This window comes from Homo sapiens, chromosome 4, assembly GCF_000001405.40.
Source record: "Homo sapiens chromosome 4, GRCh38.p14 Primary Assembly".
Taxonomy (NCBI): Eukaryota; Metazoa; Chordata; class Mammalia; order Primates; family Hominidae; genus Homo; species Homo sapiens.
The window spans coordinates 155,929,312-155,952,752 of NC_000004.12; the positions used below are offsets into that span (position 1 = coordinate 155,929,312).

Sequence of the window (23,441 nt, forward strand, 5' to 3'; positions counted from 1 at the left end):
TCTATATTTCTGTGTGTGTGTCTTTAATTCCTCTAGCGCCGCTGGGTTAGGGTCTCCACAACTGAGCTGGTCTCGGCACATTTACTCCTATAAGATTGTTGAGAAGTTGTGAAGGTCTTATGAGGACTTAATCATAGCAGAACCAAATTTCAATGTTCTACAGTATGGTGATCATTTTGCACTCAGTGTCCATGCTGGAAAGCAGTCAACTGAGTCTTATCAGCACTTACCTGTTTTATCAAACCCAGTTATGAGAACTGCATGATTTGCTTCTCCACTAGAGCAGTGATGCTGTATAATGCCTCCCAGATAATCTTGCCAGCTCACTGCATCTACTATGACTACCAAAGGGCCAAAGGTAAGAAGTGCTTTTGCCATTTCATCTTCTTGGTCACTACCAAAAGAGGAAATATTTGGTTAGAAAATTTAGTTTTTAAGGTAAAAATAACAATGATCTATATAATCTGTGTATGATTCTGAGTAGGTTTGGTTGCAGTTACAAAGGACCTAAACAATGGAAGCTAAGTCTGAGAGACTGGTAGTCTATGGCTGGGATAGGGTTTCAGGATATCAGGAACCCAAGCTCTTTCTCTATCATTGTCCTGCTATTCAAAGGTTTCCATTTTCAGGGTCCATTCATGGTCCAAGATGGTTGCTGGGACTCCAGCCATTTAACACATATTTAAGACAGCAGGAAGTAGAAAGCAGAAGTGATACATCTCTGTTGAGAAGACTTCCCAGAAATAACCCGCAACACTTCCACATATATCTTCACGGATCTCATTGGCCAGAACTCAGTCATATGGCTAAGTCTAGCTTAAAGGAAGATGGGGAATGAGTTCTGTAGCTGGCTGGAAAATTAGTTAAGACATAGGGCTTCTTTTATTAAGGAAAGTGGAAAGACTAGATATTTGGCGATACCTTGCCATCTCTGCCACACCATGAGAATCAAGAGACTAACTCATGTTAGTCATTGTCAAATATAGAAATTATAGGGAAGGGCTACTCAAAAGTGGCTAATATAATTATACAATAGAAGCAATGTTAAGCAAATATTTTAAAAAGAGAAGAAATGTTAGGATGCCCGGAGAACTAGGTGTTCAACTGTGAAGACTGCAAAATACACAATTATTGTTTTCACACATGGACATAAAGTCTCATATTATACAACATTTGTCCTTCATTGATCTTACAAGTGAGTGATCAAATCATTATTTACACTTTTCAAAGGTCAGCTTTGTGGGTGAAGGATACTGAAACCAAGTTCCTAATAGTTCAAACTATTAAGATAACATTTGATAGTTTACTGCTATAGCAAGCCATGGGTGGATTAGTGGTAATAATCCACTAATAAGTAAGTAAATAATCTTTCATGACGACCAGCTGGAGACCAGTTTCTAGAGAGGGAATATTTTGTCCACAGAGGAGCAAAAAGTTGACTGCATAATAATGGAATTGATTGAAATAGAAACTATATATTCATTTTATACATTTATTCATGTTAACTATTAACATGAATATCTGCTTTTTGAGATCTATAAGTAGATATTTCTAATTTTTGCTACTGTAAAACAGTTCATATTAACTAAGATTATCCTGAGACAGGCAAAATTGTAAAATTTTTAAAAGGCATCATGATAGGTTATAGGTTTTTAATTGTCCCACACCTGGGTTCAAATTCCAACTATACACTGCAGCCATTCAACCTACCATGCAGAATCAATACAAGGATAAAATTATGGCATACAATTTTGCAAGACATAAATTATGTAGCATGCCCAGCACATAAGTTTTACTCCAAGTTTACAATAAGGATTATTTATTTCCCTCATTTCTAACTTATCTAATAACTAATTGTGTTCCCCATAGGATTTAGTGTATAAAGTATATCTTATTGTATCAAAATTCTTAGCATAGTTCATGATTTAAACATGATATATATAATAATCTTTCTATCAACCAGAACACAGCCGTCTCCATCAATTGAAGAAAACAAAGGATTACTGGAAGTTCATCTCATCAAAGATCCAGTTTCAGGGATACCAGGAGAAAAGCAGAAAGATCAAGAAGAAGGAATATTTTTAGAATGCAAAGGGTAACTGACATTGCAGAATCAAAGAAACAATTTAGTAATAATCCCTGATTTGGGCCAGAGCTGAAAAAAGATATCAAAGATTAGAAGTAAGAAATAGAAGGACAAGCCTCAGTCATAAGCAGAGGCAAATGTTCCATTTGGCCCCAGAATTGAGTGGCATTGCTATCATTTGTCTTTCAGAAAGATGTCAGCTTTTAGAGAGTTCAAATAATGCTCCAGACAGCATTTTAATTTCCATTATTAACCCAATATAGAACTACTATCAACATGTACATTGTTATAATGGCTTTATTATCAAACATTGATTCCATGAGCTTACTATTCATTTCACAGATTAATAATTTCCAAAACCTACAGTTTTGGAAATAATAATTCGTTATTATTATAACGAATTATTATTATAATTATTATTAATCATTGATTAATGAATTATAATTATTATTCATTATTATTATAATGAATGGAATAATAATAATAGTTCAAATAATTTTCCTAAATTTTATTGTCATCAAGATGCGGCGATGAAGGCAAGTCTGACCTGTTACTGATGCTTCATAATGTGGATTTTCATCTCATCTTCCCTAGAATTCAGTGTGTTATACTGTGTCTGAATTTTTCTGACTACTGTTATATGTAGTAGGTTCCTACAGTTTTTGTTTATTTACATAGTCATTCTCATATTGTAGTTTGAGTCCTGAAATTTCTGGGGTCTGATAAACAAAAATTCATGAAGAACCCTGGGTGGGAATGGTCATTTTGCTTTAAAATTAGGTTATGTTTTTATATTTTAGATGATTTTTTTCCCTTCTTAGATGCTTTCAGGTTCTGTACAATGTTTTAAGGAGCGTTTGGCTGAAAACCTAAGACCACATGACGTTACCAATAGTGTTGGGAGTAAAAGCACAAGCTTTGGAGTTGAACAGATATGAGTTCTAATCCGACTCCACAGTTTACTAGCTATATGGCTCTCCCTGAGTCTCAGGCATCCACCATACATGGAAATAATATTATTGAAGTACAAAGGACCAGGTCTTGTGCCCAGTTATAGCAAATGCTTTGGAAGACCTTCACACATCCTAAGGCTGTCACCACTGCAATGCACACTCACCCAACTTGCAACAATGAGATCCTGCAGTTCTTTCCCTGAGCCCTTTTCCTCCTAGAGCCAGGAAAGCAAGCCCAGTCCCCATTTCCATCCCCAGATGCACCCTCAACTAATGAATCAGGGAAGACGACAATCACCAACTTGGATGGGATGGCACTGAAGTGTACATTTTACCCTGGCTGCCAGAGTTCCCCAGCAGGACTAAGCATGAGGTTAGCCACAGCACTAACTGGTTTAATCAAGAAACCCTGCTGCCCCGGTTCTCTCATTTCCCCACCCCATTACCAGTCTTTCCTGGGATCACTTCCTAGGTGTTCCAACTGAACTCTTACTGTTTCCTTCTAAATCTGTTCCTGTCTTAGACTTTCAAGTTTCATTAATGGTAATTCTATTTTTCAGTCATTGAGATCAAAAGGCCGGGAATCCTCCTAGACTCTCTTCTCTCTTATCTCCTCTCCAATAAAAAACTGTGTAGGGCTTTACCCTCTGTGAGGGGTATTAATCTATACATACCCCTCATCTCTCATCTCCAAGGCCATTCTCCTAACACCCTGCTCTAAGGCCACTGCTTGGTGACTGAGATGGTTTGGCTGTGTCCCCATCCAAGTCTCAAATTGAATTGTATCTCCCAGAATTCCCATGTGTTGTGGGAGGAACCCAGGGGGAGGTAATTGAATCATGGGGGCCAGTCTTTCCAGTGCTATTCTTGTGATAGTGAATAAGTCTCATGAGATCTGATGATTTTATCAGGGGTTTCCACTTCTCCTTCTTCCTCAATTTCTCTTGCCGCCACCATGTAAGAAGTGCCTTTCTCCTCCCGCCATGATTCTGAGGCCTCCCTAGCCATGTGGAACTGTAAGTCCAATTAAACCTTTCTCTTCCCAGTCTCGGGTATGTCTTTATCAGCAGCATGAAAATGGACTCATAGTAAATTGGTACTAGTAGATTGGGGCACTGCTGAAAAGATACCTGAAAATGTGGAAGTGACTTTGGAACTGGGTAATAGGCAGACAGTTGGAACAGTTTCAAGGGCTCAGAAGAAGAAAGGAAAATGTGGGAAAGTTTGGAACTTCCTAGAGACTTGTCGAATGGCTTTCACCAAAATGCCAATAGTGATATGAACAATAATTAGGTCCAGGCTGAGGTGGTTTCAGATGGAGATGAGAAACTTGTGGGAAATGGAGCAAAGGTGACTCTTGTTATGTTTTAGCAACCAGACTGGCAGCATTTTGCCACTGCCCTAGAGATTTGTGGAACTTTGAACTTGAGAGAGATGATTTAGGGTATCTGGCGGAAGAAATTTCTAAGCAGCAAAGCATTCAAAAGGTGACTTGGGTGCTGTTAAAAGCATTCCATTTTAAAAGGGAAAACAGAGCATAAAAGTTCAGAAAATTTGCAGCCTGATGATGCAGTAGAAAAGAAAAACCCATTTTTTGAGGAGACATTGAAGCCAGCTGCAGAAATTTGCGTAAGTAGCAAGGAGCCTAATGTTAATCCCCAACACCATGGGGAAAATGTCTTCAGGTTATGTCAGACACCTTCACGGCAGCCCCTCCCATCACAGGCTCGGAGGCCCAGAAGGAAAAAGTGGTTTTGTGGGATAGGCCCAGGGTCCTTGTGCTGTGTGCAGCCTAGGGACTTAGTGCCCTGTGTCTCAGATGCTCCAGCCATGGCTCAAAGGGGCCAACATAGAGCTCAGGCTGTGGCCTTGGCAGCTTCCATTTGGGGTTGAGCCTGCGGGTACATAGAAGACAAGAATTGAGATTGGGGAACCTCCACCTAGATTTCAGAAGATGTATGGAGATGCCTGGATGCCCAGGCAAAAGTTTGCTGCAGGAGCAGGGCCCTCATGGAAAACCTCTGCTAGCGCAGTGCAGAAGAAAAATGTGGGGTTGGAGGCTCCACACAGAGTCCCACAGGAGCTGCGAGAAGAGGGCCACTGTCCTCCAGACCCCAGAATGGTAGATCCACTGACAGCTTGCACTATGCACCTGGAAAAGCCACAGACACTCAATGCCAGACCGTGAAAGCAGCCAGGAGGGAGGCTGTACCCTGCAAAGCACAGAGGCAGAGGTGCTCAAGACCATTAGAACCCACATCTTGCATCAGCATGACTTGGATGTGAGATCTGGAGTCAAAGGAGATCACTCTGGAACTTTAAAATTTGACTGCCTGCTGGATTTTGGAGTTCCATGGGCCCTCTAACTCCTTTGTTTTGGCCAATTTCTCCCATTTGGAATGGCCGTATTTACCCAATACCTGTATCCCTACTGCATCTAGGAAGTAATTAGCTTGCTTTTGATTTTACAGGCTCATAGGCGGAAGGGAGTTGCCTTCTCTCAGATGAGACTTTGGACTGTGGACTTTCGGGTTAATGCTGAAATGAGTTAAGACTTTGGGGGACTGTTGGCAAGGCATGATTGGTTTTGAAATGTGAAGACATGAGATTTGGAGGGGCCAGGGATGGAATGATATGGTTTGGGTGTGTCCCCACCGAAGTCTCAACTTGAATTGTATCTCCCAGAATTCCCACATGTTGTGGAGGGACCCAGGGGGAGGTAATTGAATTCATGGGGGCTGGTCTTTCCCATGCTATTCTTGTGATAGTGAATAAGTCTCACAAGATCTGATGGGTTTATCGGGGGTTACGCTTTTGCTTCTTCCTCATTTTCTCTTGCTGCCGCCACGTAAGTAGTGCCTTTTACCTCCTGCCGTGATTCTGAAGCCTCCTCAGCCATGTGGAACTGTAAGTCCAATTAAACCTCTTTTTCTTTCCAGTCTTGGGTATGTCTTTATCAGCAGCACGAAAGCAGACTAATACAGGGACAGTATGACCTCATCTCCTACTAGTCTTGTCTTTCTTCTCCACACTACAGCCACAGTGGCTTCATCATTGTTCTAACATGCCAGACATGTTTTTGCCTCACGATCTTTGCATTTACAGCCTCTCTGCTTGGAACCATGTTCCCCCACATATCTGCGTGGTTAAGTCCACGCACTTCTCCAAGTCTTCACTTGAACATAACCTTTTCAGTGAGTGAGGCCCTGCCAGGCAACCCTTTCTCAAATTGTACACTCCCCCTACTACCAGATCGTTTCTCTTCCTCCCACTGTTTTCATTTGTTCTCTTTGTTAATTATTACAGCCAATATGCCACATGTATTTTTATTTTTTGTGACTGTCTGTCTCAATTACTAATGAGGGCAAGGTTTTTGTCTGTTTTGTTCTCTGCCAAATCCCCAGAACTTAAAAAAAAGTCAGTAAATATTTGAATGAATAAATAAATCAAAGAAAGATCTTCTTGCAGTCAAATGCTATCAGTTTAGCATTGCACTGTTAGAGTTTAATCTTCAATATAAACAAGATATTTTGATTGGGACCTCTTCCTTCCTAATCAAAGGCCCAATGCCAACAACTCCTGCATTCTCTCTTTCCCTTAATTCAGACTAATGCCTATTATTCTTTTGCTTCTTCTTAATTTTTTTTTCAATTTCCTACCATGATAAGGGATTCCCTTAATCCCTTTTAATGATATTTTGTAAATCTAGTTTTTTCTTGTACACATCCTTCCCTTATACTCTCAAGGAAGTCAGAGTTTATAGGGCATACTTTCTGATTTTAGAAAGCACATTACCTTTATCCCCAAATGAGATGTTGACCACGGTACTCAGTGACCCTGCACATTTTATTATAAATCCTACATGGTCTGCCAGCTGTGGAATTAAGGCTGTCTGGTGTATGGTTCCTGGTGTCACCCTGAGGACCCTTGTTGCAGACCGGAGCTGTGTTGACAACCTGACAGTTCTCTGGCACACTTATGCTCATTTAAACGGGTACATTTTGTTCAAGGACGCAATTTCACCCTTGATTTCTTTCAGATCCCATGGGTAGATACCATCTGGATCAAGGGATTATTTTATATTCAGGACCACTAAGTCATAGGGGATTCTGTTACCTTATCCAAATTTAATTTAGTTCCTGTTTTCTCTGTTTCAAAAGACTGCAAAGTTCCCATCATATATTTTCTTAATGAAGCCAGGAGTTGGTTGGGTCTCCCTTTGTCCTTTTCACCCATGAACACCTATTTTGCACTCTATCAAATGGTCATGATGAGTCTCCAGCCAGCTCTGTGTTTTTCATGTGTTTTTAAAGCATTTTTAATGATTGTTTTCCCCAAAACTATCCAAAGTTATCCTGCCCTTCAGTTCCAACACAAGTCCTTTTCCTCAGCCTGTCTTTATCTATCCCTACATTCCCATCATGCTTATAGTGTATGCTACATAATTTATCTTCAGTAGTATATGCTTCCCTCTTTTCTCTAATCTGAAGTTTTGTGTTATATTTTTCAAATGGCTGATGTCTTGAAAAATGCAAAGAACATAGAAGGTGTTCAAAATATGCTTCCTGATATGTAGCCTACGTGATATTAGCTGCACAGTCTGTACAAAGCAATTCTGGATGGACTCACCATTAAGATTGAAATATGCTAATGGTAATATAACACCTAAATTTGATAAGATGAAGGTGGTATATATAAATATAAATTATGCACTAATAATTTGTAAGTATAATAAAATATAAAATATAACAAATAAATATACATATAAATTGTACCTTACACAGAATTAAAATTTTTCATTTCTATCGTAATGACACTTGGGAAAATAAGTAGATTATAATTAAGAAACAACATTTACAACATTTCATTGTAATTGCTACTCTTTCTAGTAAAAAGTATGTTTTACAAGGATTAAGAGTATGCAGTGATGCCTTCAAACAAATTATTAACCAGTCAATAGATCATAAATTAAAAATGTATAAAGAAAAACATAATACAATAAGATCTTTACCTGAAGTCATATGCAGAATAACCTTTGATTGAAAATCCAGAATGTGAACCAGAAAAGTAATGGCACAGACCATTTTGTGCTTTAAAAGGATATTCTGAATCTTTCACCAGTTTTACTTGCATCTAAAAGAAAACAATCACTGAACATGTTTACTGTCAATTGTTTTATAAATCAAATAGAACTTACTTCACTGTGTCAAAACAGGTTCAATTTCACACACCTTCATCATGTGGATATACTTTGCGTTCTTTTTTTTTTCTTTTTCTTTTTTGAGACAGAGTTTTGTTTGGTTGCTCAGGCTGGAGTGCAGTGGCTCGATCTCGTCTCACTGCAATCTCCACCTCCTGGGCACCAGTGATCATCCCACCTCCGTCTCCCCAGTAGCTGTGACTACAGGTATGAGCCACCACGCCAGGCTAATTTTTTGTATTTTTTGTAAAGATGGGGTCTCACTCTGTTGCCCAGGCTGGTCTTAAACTCCTGGACTCAAGAAATCCACCTGCCTTGGCTTCCCAAAATACTGGGATTACAGGTGTGAGGCATTGTGCCCAGCCTATACTTTGGGTTTTTAATATTATAAATTAAATCTTTAGGTGCTTGTTCTGGATAGTCTAGACATTTGGAGTCAATATCTTTCCTTCTCCCTTACTTCTCTTTATCTTACAGCATCCTTTTGTAGATCCTCCATGGATCTAGTAACAGTCTTGTCATCTTTCTCCTGACGGTGCTATAGGGCAGCTCACTTTCCTCCCAGTGCTTCTGGTTCTGCCAAGTCTTTCAGATTCCATCCAGTGGTTTATACACAGGCAACGGTTAGGTCAAGCATTCTTTCTATCACTTCACTTTTATGCCATTCATATAGCATATGTCAAATACTTCATAGTTATCTGTACAAAACCCTCCCTTTTTGAATGCTAGGCTAATGAAAGGGAGGAGACTCATAATTCATTGTCGTCTACAGTGTGTACAGAGCAGGTCCTGGAATACGTGATTAAAAATGCAACCAATGGATAATGGAAGAGAATTCAGGTTTGGGGAACTCTGGTTTGATGACGTTCTACAGAAACTAATAGCACCCTCATTGGCAAATTTCATGCAGTTGATATCGGATCTGGGACACTGTCAGGGCAAGTGCTAAGAACGCTGAGGGACACTGGGGTATACTGAGCAAAGCCCTACTGTGAGAGGCTGGGGACTGAAGGTACAACTCCGGCTCAGCTACTGACTTGACAAAATGATCTCACTTCTCAGGCTTCATTTCTTCATCTATAAAAAGAGCTACAGGCTGGGTGTGGTGGCTCATGTCTGTAATCCCAGCACTTTGGGAGGCTGAGGCGGGTGGATCACAAGGTCAGGAGATCGAGATCAGCCTGGCCAATATGGTGAAACCATGTCTTTACTAAAAAAACAAAAACAAAAAACAAAAAACAAAAAAAACAAAAAAATTAGCCAAGTGTGGTGGTGGGCACCTATAGTTCCCAGCTACTCCGGAGGCTGAAGCAGCAGAAACACTTGAACCCGGGAGGTGGAGGTTGCAGTGAGCCAAGATTGTGCCACTGTACTCCAGCCTGGGTGACAGAGTGAGACTCTGTCTCAAAAACAACAACAACAAAAAAGAGCTAAAAAATTAGTCTCTAATGTTCCTTTTAACCTTAACATTCAGAAATTCTATGAAAATAAAAAAAATATATTCTCATCTTTCCGGGATATTATGAGATATTCAGATCTGCAAAAAAGCATGTATATATTAAGAAATGTTAAGAAATAAATATAAATATTTCTCTGAAGACAGACTTCAGATTTTTCCCCTTTTGATTTCTTGACAACTGCTTTGCCTAGAAGTGATTCATTTTTAAATATTCTGATTAATTACTTCATGCTTTGATCATCTACATTTCCGAACGTGGAAACATTATTTAATATATGTGAACAAACTGTTTGAATTTTGAACACACAGTAAACAAGCAAAAAAGGAAATAAAGAGTTTAAGAGGTTGAGAGACTAGTCACCTTGTTTAACCAGTTCAAAGCATTGAGAGTAGAGCCTCCATTGCAGCCATAATTATTATACGAACAGTCAATGACCTGCTGGACACTTAGGTCTTCCAGGGGCTTCCCCTTTATTGCATAAGCAGATTCCACTGCCCCCACCACGCTGAAGGCCCAGCATCCTCCACACTGTTTAAAAACAGAAAAAGGGGTGGTATTTCCAGGGTTTAAATCAACTTACCAACATCTCTAAATGTAACAAGTTATCAAATCAAGTAAGGCTTCCAGATTCTGGAAACCTACAAAATAAATACGCCTATCCTCTAGATTTTTAAACTGAAAAAAAGAGAAAACCAAAAGTCTCTTTTGAGCATCATTTAATTATTAGTTCATGTTGTCAGCATTATTACTATTCTAAATTTGGCAATGCAAGATAAAAGTGAATTTTTAGAGACCGAGGAAATACTTGGGCTAACTGATGATCTTCTAAAAGACCATTCAGTTCACTGAATATGTGACTTCTCTTTGTAAGTGGCTTTTCTTCTGGAGAGTGTGTGCCGACTCCCGCCCCAACCTTCCATCCCCCTTGCTTTTTTAAGGACACTCTGCTTCCATGGTCATACACCACTTCCATCCTAAGGGTGAGGAGGGGAAAGATGCATGTTGTGCTAATTATTTGATGGAGATAAGAGAATTAATAAATATTAATGAATTACTCTTTAGGCTATAAAGATGCCCGATTAAGTATGCTTATAGTGGATGTACATGAAATGTCCTAAGGATATAAATCCATATTAGTCATTACTCCAGTATTGGCTGCCAATCATGCTGATAGTGGATCTCTTAATTTGCTTTTACTTAACAAACTAGAACAAAAGAATAAAAGAACTAGTCCTGAAAGAAAGAGAGGAGACAGAGGGAATGAAATTAGGGATCGTAGGATCACGTAAAAGGAAGAAGGATCCACAGAAAAGGCAGAAGAGAGTAGGATTTGAGACTGGATGAAACTAACATAACTGGAGGGCCATGTGTGGCAGAGTTAGACCAAAAAAAAAAAGGAATGACAATTGGATATCTTTGCAGAGTTAAGTTTTGAGCAACTTTATGGCTTTAAGTGCTTTTTTAAAGGTTATATCTCTATCTCTAGTGCCTATGGCATAGTAAAAACACTCACTAAGTGACCATACAGCAGGGTCTCCAAACTTTGACAAAGGTGAACACAGGGCAGCTCATGCCTGTAATCCCAGCACTTTGGGAGGCCAAGGCAGGCGGATCATGAGGTCAGGAGTTCAAGACCAGCCTGACCAACATGGTGAAACCCCGTTTCTACTAAAAATACAAAAATTAGCCAGGCATGGTGGTGCGCACCTGTAATCCCAGCTACTAAGGAGGCTGAGGCAGGAGAATCTCTTGAACCTGGGAGGTGGAGGTTGCAGTGAGCCGAGATCGCATCACTGCACTCCAGCCTGGGTGACAGAGTGAGACTCCGTCTCAAAAAAAAAAAAGAGAAAAGGTAACAGGCTGCTGACATCACCCCTATAGCCAGCTTTAGTCAAGCCACAAGGGCAGTTCCTGCTTAAAAAAAAAAAAAAGTCTCTCATACATTCCTTTAATTAAAGATCTCTAATTAAAAGTTCCCTCTTCAATACACTGTGGACAATTTTTGAAAGGATTAGATTTATGTCTAATTGACATGTTATTACAAATCCAATAATAAAGCAAATGATTTGGTGGTAAAACTTAATGTACAAAAATAAATATAGACTCTGAGAAGCAAAAATCATTCTAACTACACATTGACTGCGAAACAGCTGGCACCAAAACACTTTCCATAAAAGGGAAGGCTGAATGATCTGTTGAGGTTTCCACTGCAGACAAACTGAGACTATCCCCTCTGGTTAGGGGTTTGACTTTGCCTGTTTGGCAGGCATTCCCTATGCCAACAGTTGGGAGTGTAGACGGGTAGGGAAGGTCAGCAAAGTATGCACACACCCCTCAAACGTCTGCCAGCTAGGTGGGTTCACTACATGCATTATAGGTCATACCCACCCACATCTGCTCTTACCACTTTCCTTCCTAGTTCAAAGGCACCTCCTTCCACCACTTCAGAATAACTCACAAGCTGCTGCCCTGCCAACTCCCATGTCCTCAGCACACTTTGAGTCTCTTTTCAAGGTAAATTGCTATATTTATTGCAGTACTTACATATTTCTTAATCAGTAAACATGTGTAAAACTGTGCTACTGTGTCTATTAGTTTTCTGTCTTTTAAAACATATGTCATTGACTAAGCTCGTAGGTAGTGTAACCTAACCTCATTTCTCCCATAATCCCTGTCATGCTACTGCTCAATTCTGCATAGGTGGTGATTTTCTGGAATGTATGCGTCACGTTATGGCTGAACTGACTACTAACTATACTTTTAAGGCCCACAGATTCAAAGGTATATGATCCTGTGAAGACGGGGGCAGATTTTCTGACAGAGCTTGCAAGATGAGGCTTGAGAACCCAGGAGATTCGGCCACACTGTTGGTAAATGTATCCATTTTCATTTTACTTTTTCACTTTTTTTTTCTTGAACCATTTAAGCCTTTAGTGCTCATGTTTACCTTCTCCAGCCTCTCATCTGCTATTGTACAGAAAGCTTGGTATCTGTGATACAGCTACTGGGAAGTATCCCTGAGCTGTTATTACAGCTACTGGGAAGTATCCCTGAGTTATTGTGTTGGTGGCAATGGCAATTAGTAAGAGTACACAGCAAGGAAGGTTTATCTTCAGAAATAAAAGTCAGGGCTTTGACATTTGACTCTCATTCCTCCAGAGATTCTCTTTTCATTGTCATTTTTGGATGACTGAGATGTGATTTTCCTAGAGAAATGATGTTTCCATTACAACTTTGATTAAACTTGACCTCAAAGCTGCCTTTCAATGCTTAGATGATTAGAAAAGAAGAGGGATTTCAACGTACCATCTGCTGGTTTCTCACTTGTGTCACAACCTGCTTGTCCCTCCAGTCAAATCTTAACGGCAAAGACACATTGGGGATGGACATATGTACTTCTGCTGAGTATCTGGGAAACTTGGAAGGTTTGCTTCTTAAATAAATGGCTGAGTAGAAACATAAAATGAAAATACAACCAATATTATATTACAATATATTATATTATATATATCATATATATTTGTTATATATAAAGACAATCAATATTATATTATAGGGAGACAACCAATATTATACTAAAAGACAACCAATATTATATTATATTATATCCTTGAGATTCTTTGGGAGGAACTTTTAAAGAAGAAACAGTAGCCTTCTAGTAGACCTGCTATTTTAGATTTTCTCTTGTGCTTTTCTATAACATAAAATGCATTCATTAAAAACTACAAAAGAGAATTCCTACAATAAGGCTGGAGTTGACACATAAAATGATTTGTTTGATAGAACCAGGTCAATAATAAAAATAAGTATAATTGACATCATTTGTTCTATCATAACCCATGGAACCATGTGTGTCCTGAAGAGAAAAAGCACTAGAAAACTGCAGAAGTGATTAGACAATTATCCTTTATAGCCACATGGAAATGTGCATAATTATAACATTCATTTCTTAAGCAGTAATTAGAAGAGACTGGCCATGAATTTATTTTCTTATGTGAGCACATGGTACATGCCTGACATTTAGTAGACACTTAATAAATGTTAACTATTACTCAATATATTAGATTTACAATGAAATATTTATCAAAAGTTAAGCAAGCAAATTAAAATCAGGAAACCACCTAAATAGCAACATCGGACTATACCTTTAAACTCTTCAGGAAACAAATAGGAAAACTGATTTATTCCATAGAAGGCGGTGGAGTTTTCACTGGGAAATAAAGAATTCAAGTATCGATGTCTATTAAGACTTTCCTAGAAGAAAAACAAAAACTATTTCATATCCACTATGTCAGTTTTCCAAAGTAAACTGTGTATAACTAACTTGGAGAAATTTTTCAATTATAAAGTTAAAGCTTGATTTCCTTCAGACTACAATGTAAAGTTGTATAAGATATCCATAGGAGATTCATAAATATTTTCTATTAGAATTATTATCTAATTGCAGACATTTTTTGAGGCTGAGAAAAGTGTATTTTATTCATTTATAATTCCCCATCACCAGGTTTGTTGCAAGCATTCCATATACAGCTGTTAAAGTATTGACATAGTGGGAAAAAAGAAATAGACTGCAAATAAACACTAGATACTAGAAGCAAATTGTCACCTTTAGACATTCACTCATGTGGTTAAACAATTATGAATATGGAATATGTCCTCTTCACCTTTGTGTTTCCCGGAACTAAGTAATGAAGCATGAAAAACAGACTGGGTAAATAAATTAATAAATCAATCTGATTCTATTAAAGCTTTATAGATATCTCTATCTCATGTAGGGTACAAAGGCTCTGTGACAGATGCAATTCTGGAAATATTTGAAGAAGATAGCCTGGTTTCTCTATCTGGAGGGGAAATGTGACCATTATTTACTGATTTCTCAACTTTGAATTTTGTGACAATTTATCTTAAGCTTATCTTTTATATATAAACATGCTTCAATTTCGTAATACTAACCAATTACATAGAATAAATAAAATTTCAGGGGGCTATCATTTGGTACCTTTCCAACCCTAGCGCTTCTACATATTTGTCTATGTACTTATGTGTTTATTGTGTGTCTGTATCAAAAACCTATAAGCAAAATGATGACTGCTTATATGTCTTATTCCTTATGGTGAGACACTCACTTAGCACATGGCTGACACACAATAGATCCTTGATAAGTGTTTGTTGTTGAATAAATAGATAAGTGACATTTTCCATATCATGCCCTTAATAACTTTAAGCTGTTTATTTTTAAGTAAATTATTGCTGGAAGTTGTCATAATCTTATTTTTTTTCCTTTTGTGCATACCTAGGAAGATTGCTAATCAACAAATTAATAAAGTTTTTGAGGTACTTTAAAATAATCTTGATGAAGCAAGGCTTTCAATATAACCTGGATATATAAATGTAAAAATAGAACTAGAATACAAGGTAATTCTGTATATGGCAAATGACAAATATAAGCCAGAGACTATTAACTGCTAAGGAATTCAGAGGATTCATTCATTCAATAAGTACTGCCTGGCCATCTTTGTGAGCTGGAGTAGTCAGGAAGGCACTGAAAATGTAGGATGTTAAGAATGCACAGGAGAGAATGTGGCAGCCATGAGAATGTGCCTCCCAGCCTTCTTTCTATAGGGAGTTTAGCTGCTGCTAGTTGAAATCTCCATGATCACACCAAGGGAAGCCACAGTTCTTACGGGCTGCACCTAGCTCATGACTTAGTGCTAAGGCTTGCTATTTGGGAGACAAATGGGACTCCCCTGACAGCTGGTTTTTGATTAATGACTCCCTGATGGCCTTGCCAAACCAAAGTTTCCTTGGACTGTGAGACAGCATGGAACTCTTCCCCAGTCTTCCTTCCTTTTTTCCTTCACTCAGGGTCAGAATTACATTGCAATCAGATAGCTCTACCTGGACCTCTCCCTATTAGTTCACAGGAATTGCTCCTGTGATTGATTAAAAAAAAAAAAAAAAAAAGCCTGGGAGCAGTGGCTCACACCTGTCATCCCAGCACTTTGGGAGGCTGAGGTCGGTGGATCATCTGAGGTCAGGAGTTCGAGACCAGCCTCGCCAACATGGTGAAAGCCTGTCTCTACTAAAAATACAAAAATTAGCCGGGCGTGGTGGTGGGCGCCTATAATCCCAGCTACTCAGGGGGCTGAGGCAGGAGAATCGCTTGAACCTGGAAGGCGGAGGTTGCAGTGAGCCGAGATCACAGCACTGCACTCCAGCCTGGACGACAGAGCGAGCCTCCAACTCAAAAAAATAAATAAATAAATAAAAAATAAGAAAAGAATGAGAAGACATGAATAACCAATTTACCAATATTAGGAATGAAAGAAGAGCCATGATTACAGATGCTTCAGGCATTAGAAGAATAATATTTTGACAACTTTATGACAATAAATTGGCAAACTGTACAAAATGGACAAACTTTTTGCAAGGCACAGATTGCCAAAGATGAAAGGAGAAATAGAAAACTTGAGCAGCCTTTTATCAGCTAAAGGCATTAAATTTGTAAGTGAAAACTGACTCACAAAGAAAACTTCAGGCCCAGGTGGCTTTTTGGTGAACTTTATACAATGAAGAAAGAAGTAATACCAATATTATCCTTTGAGAAAATCAAGAAGAAGGGAATACGCTGCAACTTAAATAAGACCAGTGTTACCCTGATTCTAAACCAGAAAAATGTATCTAAATAAAATAGAACTACATACCAGTATCCCTCATAAATACGCTGTAGACACAAAATCCTTAACAAAATAGCAAATCAAATCTAACAATATATGTTAAGGACAATATATTGTGACCAAGTGAAGTTTATTTAGAAATGCTAGGTTGGTTTAAAATTTCAAAATCAATCATCAGTACGATACACCATATTAACAGAACAAAAAAGGAATATACCACACACACACCACACCACACCAAATGCGCACACACACACATACGCACGCACATGAGGTATAGACTGGTACGCCCTTTCAAGATCCTTAAAATTACACAAATTGTTTAATTAAGAAAATCTAATTCTAGGAATGGATTTTAGACTCTTGAGTGTAGGCAATGCTGTACGTGTGGGTTCTACACGTGTGTCTGGGAGGGGAGGCAGTAGTTGAGCCACATACTCTATTTAGTTGGAGAGCTAATGCAAGTTTATCTCACTAGATCATTTGTGACATCTACGAGAGAAACAATATATTGCCACTCAAGTTGGCAAATGCCAGATGAAACAAACTTATACATCGTTGGCAGGGAGTTCCCATGTACTTCTCTTAATTTTTGTGTTGCCTTATAAGTGTCATTTCACCATCCAAAGTTTAGGTGTTCCGGTTGTGAAGTAGTTATAATAACACCAATTTAATAATGAAATAAATGAATGTATTATTTATTTATTTTAAATATTTATGTCCCTAATTTTCAATGATGATTCCAATAACAGTTACTTGGTTTTGGTCTTGTGCCATGTGTTTGAAAAGACAAATATCTCCACATATATTTTCTATTTGTTACCACTTGATACACTGTTCTTTATGTCAGCGGCACTAGTGTCTGCAGGACTTCTGAAAATGTTGCTGTCTTCCACTTGTTCAACCAGGAGCCAACTTCTAAAAGAATTCCATTTGCTATTCTGGTGTAATGACTCCTGTCATTTCACAGCTCTCCATAGCCCATGTCAGGGCTACTCAATCTTTATACAAATTGTTGACTTCCTGCCAACAGCAAAATACTCTAAACCACTAAGTGCTCTGCTTCGTCCTCTCCCTACCACTAATCTCTACCCACTTGTTTTGATTTTGCAAAACCATTAATAACATTAAAAGTACTTCCTTGGAGGCTTCTGAACACAGCGTAATAATAATAATTATTATTATTTTGAGGCGGATTCTCGCTCTGTCGCCCAGGCGAGTGCAGTGGCGTGATCTCAGCTCACTGCAAGCTCCGCCTCCCGGGTTCACCCCATTCTCCTGCCTCAGCCTCCCGAGTAGCTGGGACTACGGGCACCCGCCACAATGCCCGGCTAATTTTTTTTGTATTTTTTTTAGTAGAGATGAGGTTTCACCGTGTTAGCCAGGATGGTCTCAATCTCCTGACCTCGTGGTCTGCCCGCCTCAGCCTCTCAGAGTGCTGGGATCACAGGCATGAGCCACTGCGCCTGGCCTCTTTTTAACTTTGCAACAATTTGAAATGTCTTACCATTGCTGTGCAATTTTTGGCTATATAATCAACCTCTCTGAGCTTTATTTCCATCAACAAATGGAGTAATACTGATCTGGAAGAATGTAAGGATGAAATAAAATAATAATTGGAAAACACTTATTACAGAGACTGGCAAAATAAATGCTCAGTTAAAATACTCTCATCCTCTATCTTCCTTTTCCTTTAAACAGAGTATTTGGATTATAGAAATGGCGCTCAAAGACCATACTTTCAGATTCACTTGGAGCAAGTATTTCTCATGTCATTAGAAATGAGGATCAATATTATCTATTGAAAGCAATCTGTTGCTTTCATGGTAAAATAATACTATCAGTATATCCAAGAATATCTATTCTCTTATTTATTTATTGTCTTGTTTGCTATACACTTATCAAGTTCACTAACATGGGTTTCACATCATTTAAAATTTAAAAAGCCCTGTATTTCATTTCTTGAATTATCAATTCTTTTAAGTGACTTTTCCGGTCTCTCTTGATTCTGGCTATTAAAGATTTCATAGACGCATCACAAACTGAAGTCTGTATGAGGCCCTTGCTGCTCATTACATCCAACAACCTCCGTTAGGTAAAGGATCAGTGGGCACATGTTCTCAACAGAGGATATGATAGGGAGCAAATTTAGAGTAGCCATCTCTAAAGTCATATAAAATATTAAAGAAAAGACCTGAACCTTAACTTCATTTATGAGAGGAAAGACGTAAAGTTTTGATGAATACATAGGAAACTTCTCATTGATACTTTTGAAAAGTGCAGATGTTTAAAAATTAGATCTTACATGAGAAAAATTAGAGCTGATAAATCAGAACAGCCTTGGTGAACAGATTTGGTGAAAAATAACTACCTTCACCTTTTTTTTGTTGTTGTTGTTAAATGTGTTTAATTGAATGAGTTACAAAGGGAGATACCAGATTCCTGAACAGAAGGGTAACTCAGAACCCAAGAGATTGAAGAAATTATCCTGATTATAAAACTAGGAAAAACATGTCCCTTGGGCATTAGTACGTCTTGTGCATACTAAGTCTCTATTTATTATAGGTATAACCTCTCAAATTCATACCTAGGACCCTGTCCCTGTAAGACTCTGTCCCTAAAGCTATCCTTATTATGACTTCTAGCAGCCATCCTTCTAAGAGGTAGAATCTCTTAAAGCTGCCTTTGTGTGTGTGTGTGTGTGTGTGTGTGCACATGTGTACTGGAGGTGATCACATATTTGAACTGTGATTTAAATGTAATATGTTTCTAAGCAGTGTCTTCCATATTCTAATTTCCCGCCTGTTAGCCTAGCTAGGATGCTTCATGAGTATGCTAAAGGAGGTTGATAAGAACTGCAGAGTAGTCATGAAACATCCCAGCAAGGCCAAACAACAAACAGAGGATGGGTTCAGTCTGATCATAAAACAGGATAACTCTATTGACAAGAGACCTGAACCAGTCTCATGAGGAGGTTAGGCTGCAGTTTTAAAATTCCTCAGAAATCAACATTTTTCTTACAGGATCAGAAAGCCCTTCCAGCTATCTCAGGCATCTTGGCCCTCTTACCTTTCCAGCTGTGGGTAACCACAGTCTTAGATAATGCTCCGGCTAGGGTAAGTTAAGAGGAAAATGGTCATGTTCAAAACAATCAAAGAGTAGAAACCCAAGGAGGGTGACTTGAGGGGTTCTCAGATGTTTCCTTAATCTACTTCCCTGAGGGGAAAAATCTGTGAAATCTTTCTCACAGACTGCCACTAAGTAAGAGTAAATGAAATCATGTATTTTCTTCTTGCATGTACTCAACTGTTTCTAAAGGAGTAAGCGAATCTTTTATGAGCAAACTGTTGAGTTTTCATTTCTCTACAAGGAAAGTTCTCAGCCACTGAATGCACTAAATACAAAGGGTTGAAGGGATTGTTAAATTGAATGCAAGTATTCATTCTAAGTGTTTTACATGAATTAACTTAGCCCTGTATAAAGGTAATTGCTAACATTAGCCCTCTTCACAGAAGAATAAATCTGAGAAACAGATACATGATTTGCCTAAGATCACACAACTAGTATTTGGTGGAGGGGTATAGTTATTTAGCCTGCAAGAAATCTACTGAAGCGTTATAAACTTTAAGGGACTTCATGTCTGTTTTATCAGCTGAAAAGGCAGTGAACATCTATTATTTTTCCCCATTGATATCTAGGTTTCCTTCCACTAATGATGATTTATTTGCCTTTATCAATATACGCAATGATGTGTGTATTCCCTTACAATGAATCCCATGTATCCATGGGATAAGTTTTATATTGAAATTAACAGAGACACCTAAGGTACTTTGGAAGCTCACTTTATCTTCGGCACTTTAAACTCATTGTTTGTCTTGCAGTTCCATTACTCAGACTTTTAACAACTTTCATTTGCAGATTTTGAAGTTTCATAGGATAAATCATAAATTGTACACATAGATTTAAAATGTTCTCCTTAGGAGTGCTTTCGTTTCTGGAAATTGCAGTAAAGCTGAGGATGAGCAAAAAAGGTAAAATATTTGTATACAAAGAGCATCACTGAGAATTTCTTGGAAGACTTAGGAGTTGTAAACTTTAGATCAGTGATTCTCAACTGAGGATAATTTTGTCCCTCATTTGTCATACTGGGGATTGTCATACTGGTGGGATGCCACTGGCATCTGGTGCATAGAGCCCATGCATGCTGCTACTCACCCTACAATGAAGAGGAAGGTCCCCCACAACAAATCACTATCCATTCTCAAATGTCAATAGTGCCACTGTTGAGGAGCCTTGGATTAGAACAATAAAAGCTTTTTAAGGATACACTTTTATAAAGTACAGCTTTTGAAAAGTTTCTTAGACAAAGTATTTTCTATACAGTGTACTGAAGTGTGTGTAAACATATTGCAGATATATGTTTACTATGTATGATAAGAAATGTGTAGTCAGGATTTGTGTGAGCATGTACACAAAAAGATTGAATTAAAAATACATTCTTTTGTGAACTACTTGGGAGAATCTATTTCTCCAGTGTATAAGTCTTTACATTCTTTTTATTTACAGGAAAATGTTTATTTACAGGATACAATGCTTAAACATAACGATATTCATTTTTTGTGTACATTTCTTACAGGACAGCACGCGTCTTATTCTCCACTGTATCCCTCAGAAAACCCAGACCAGTTCTTTAGACACAGTGGAAATTAAATAAAGTATTGGATAAATGTATGGGAAGATGAATAAATTATAACCTATGATTTTAAGTTTATGATATATTTCCATTTAGTCAATGTATGCTTTAAGTGAGATTCATCAGAAAAAGTCTGCTGAACAACCTTATCTAACATCAAATTCGTGTTTTCATCTTTATATAAGGTAGAACAGGAGTCTCAAAACCCTGGGCCATGGACCAGTACTGTTCTGTGGCCTGTTAACGACCAGGCTGCACAGCAGGTGGTGAGGGGCCTGCGAGCATGCATCACCACCTGATCTCCACCTTCTGTCAGATCGGCAGCAGCATTAGATTATCATAGGAGCACAAACCCTACTGGGAACGGTGCATGTAAGGGATCTAGTTTGCACAGTCCTTATGTGAATCTAATGCTTGATGATCTGGGGTGGAACAGCTTCATTCTGAAATCATCCGCATCCTCCTCACCCCACCCCCACACCCCAGTCCGTGGAAAAATTGTCTTCCATGAAACCAATCCCTGGTGCCAAAAAGTTTGGGGACCACTGAGGTAGAAAATAGGTTTTAAAGCTTTCTTGGATAAAGCCTATTTGGAGGACCTAATTCCAGATTTCAAGGGGCTGATTACGGCAAGCACATATAAGTGGCTCATTAGTTAGGATCACTTGTTATAAAGATGCTATGGCCATCTATTTACACATAAATAAATATTCCTAAATATATAAATAATCTTATAATAATATAACCTGTGTCATTACGGCAACTGGTCTTAAGGTAAAGCTTTGGAAATTTTATGTAAAATCACATGTACTTTGGCATAGATATTATTCTAAAGTGAGTGTATCAAGCAAATTTTATTGGATCCAATATTGGGTCTGTGCCTCCCAAAAGGATAAGAATACCAAATGTTCTGTGGTAAAATAATGAGCATCAGTAAATATGAGGGCATAGCTAGGTTTTGGCACAAAGGAGAGTAGGCTAAATCCAATAGTTAAGAGCTTCCTGAGCACTGGAAGTTTCTAAAGGAGTGAAAGTGCAGAGATAAGGGGTGCCATCCAAAGTCAGGTGTCTTGTGAGGCATCCCATAATAAACCATAGTGGAGTCTAGTTTTCACTGAACAATACTATAATATTTTGTGGGAAAGTCATGGGCTAACCTAACTTTCATTTAACGTGCATTCCTGGGAAACTTACAAAACTATCTAAGGCTAAGATTAAAACAAATTTTAAAACCTTCACCATTCTCTAAACCCATGACCATGAAAGACATTACTAATTAATCAAGGACTTTCTTGAACCAGATCTTCAGCTGCAAACCCCTGAATCATCAATTCACCAATGAATTAACTTGATTTCAACAAGAAGTTTCACGGTTACCAAGGAGGCAAGGCCCTTTCCACCTTTCCCACTGTCCAGCTCTCTATCCCAAGTCCGAACAGCAATCTCCAGCTAACTAATCTAACTAATTCCTGATGATCTTAGATGAAAGACTTTCATCCCAAATCCATCCATCTCCCCCACTTCCCTCCTCCCGTCCATGGAAAAAATGTCTTCCATGAATCCGGTCCCTAGTGCCAAAAGATTGGGGACCACTAAGGTAGAAAATCGGTTTTAAAGCATTCTTGGATAAAGTCCAACTAAGCACCGAGAGGTGTTCAGTTTCCAGCAACTGTGCGTTGAAGCCTCAATGTTCTCTTTTTTGGGTATCCATCTCATGAAGCAAATTCTTACAGGCAGCAATTGCTTTGAAAATTTTTTCAGTATTTCTTAACCCGAGGTTTTTAAAATGTACTAAGAGTCTTCATAATTCGATCCTCCTCCACTTCCAACTTTCCATCTTTCAACCTGTTTCTTTGTATTTCTCCTGAGAAAAGTTACATTTTCTAGACATTCATCAGGGTATGGCCTCTTTACAGGACCAGTATGAGTCACTACATAAATTATACACATATATATTTATAAATTATCTAAAATCTAAATAAATGTTAAAAATATATTTATAAGTCTAGCCCTTTGAGCTTTGTCCTGAAATATTATTTTTAGGAGCCTGACAGTGTGTTTATTTATTTAGCCAATGAATACGTTACCAATAAAGGTGAAACTGACTTTTCCCCTAAGGGGTTTCGTTTACCAGGAAAACGAACGTAAGTTGAGGATAGGGGTAGAATACAGGCCAGAATTTTGTTCTTGAAAGAGTAAGAGGACTTCTGGTTTTGAAAGCTAGAACTGAACTCAAGAATAATAAAGTGGAGATAACAGTACACATCTCGGTTTGGACAAAACGTAAGAGTGGACAGAATCAGGGAAGGCTGGCCTTCCTAAACATTGGAGCTTTCCAGGAGAGTCGGGGGAAAAGAGCACAGCTATGAAAT

General features: G+C 38.4%; 1 protein-coding gene across 1 annotated transcript in view; it reads right to left on the reverse strand.

Moving 5' to 3' along the window:
• CTSO (cathepsin O) overlaps positions 1-23,441 on the reverse strand; it is a 29,749-nt gene that overhangs the window by 5,194 nt on the left and 1,114 nt on the right. Inside the window, exons 2-6 of the mRNA NM_001334.3 lie at positions 13,845-13,953; positions 13,006-13,145; positions 10,060-10,227; positions 8,051-8,172; positions 231-394 (exon numbers count right to left, since the gene is read on the reverse strand). Coding sequence (NP_001325.1) covers positions 231-394; positions 8,051-8,172; positions 10,060-10,227; positions 13,006-13,145; positions 13,845-13,953 — 703 coding nt within the window. The remainder of the gene's footprint in view (positions 1-230; positions 395-8,050; positions 8,173-10,059; positions 10,228-13,005; positions 13,146-13,844; positions 13,954-23,441) is intronic.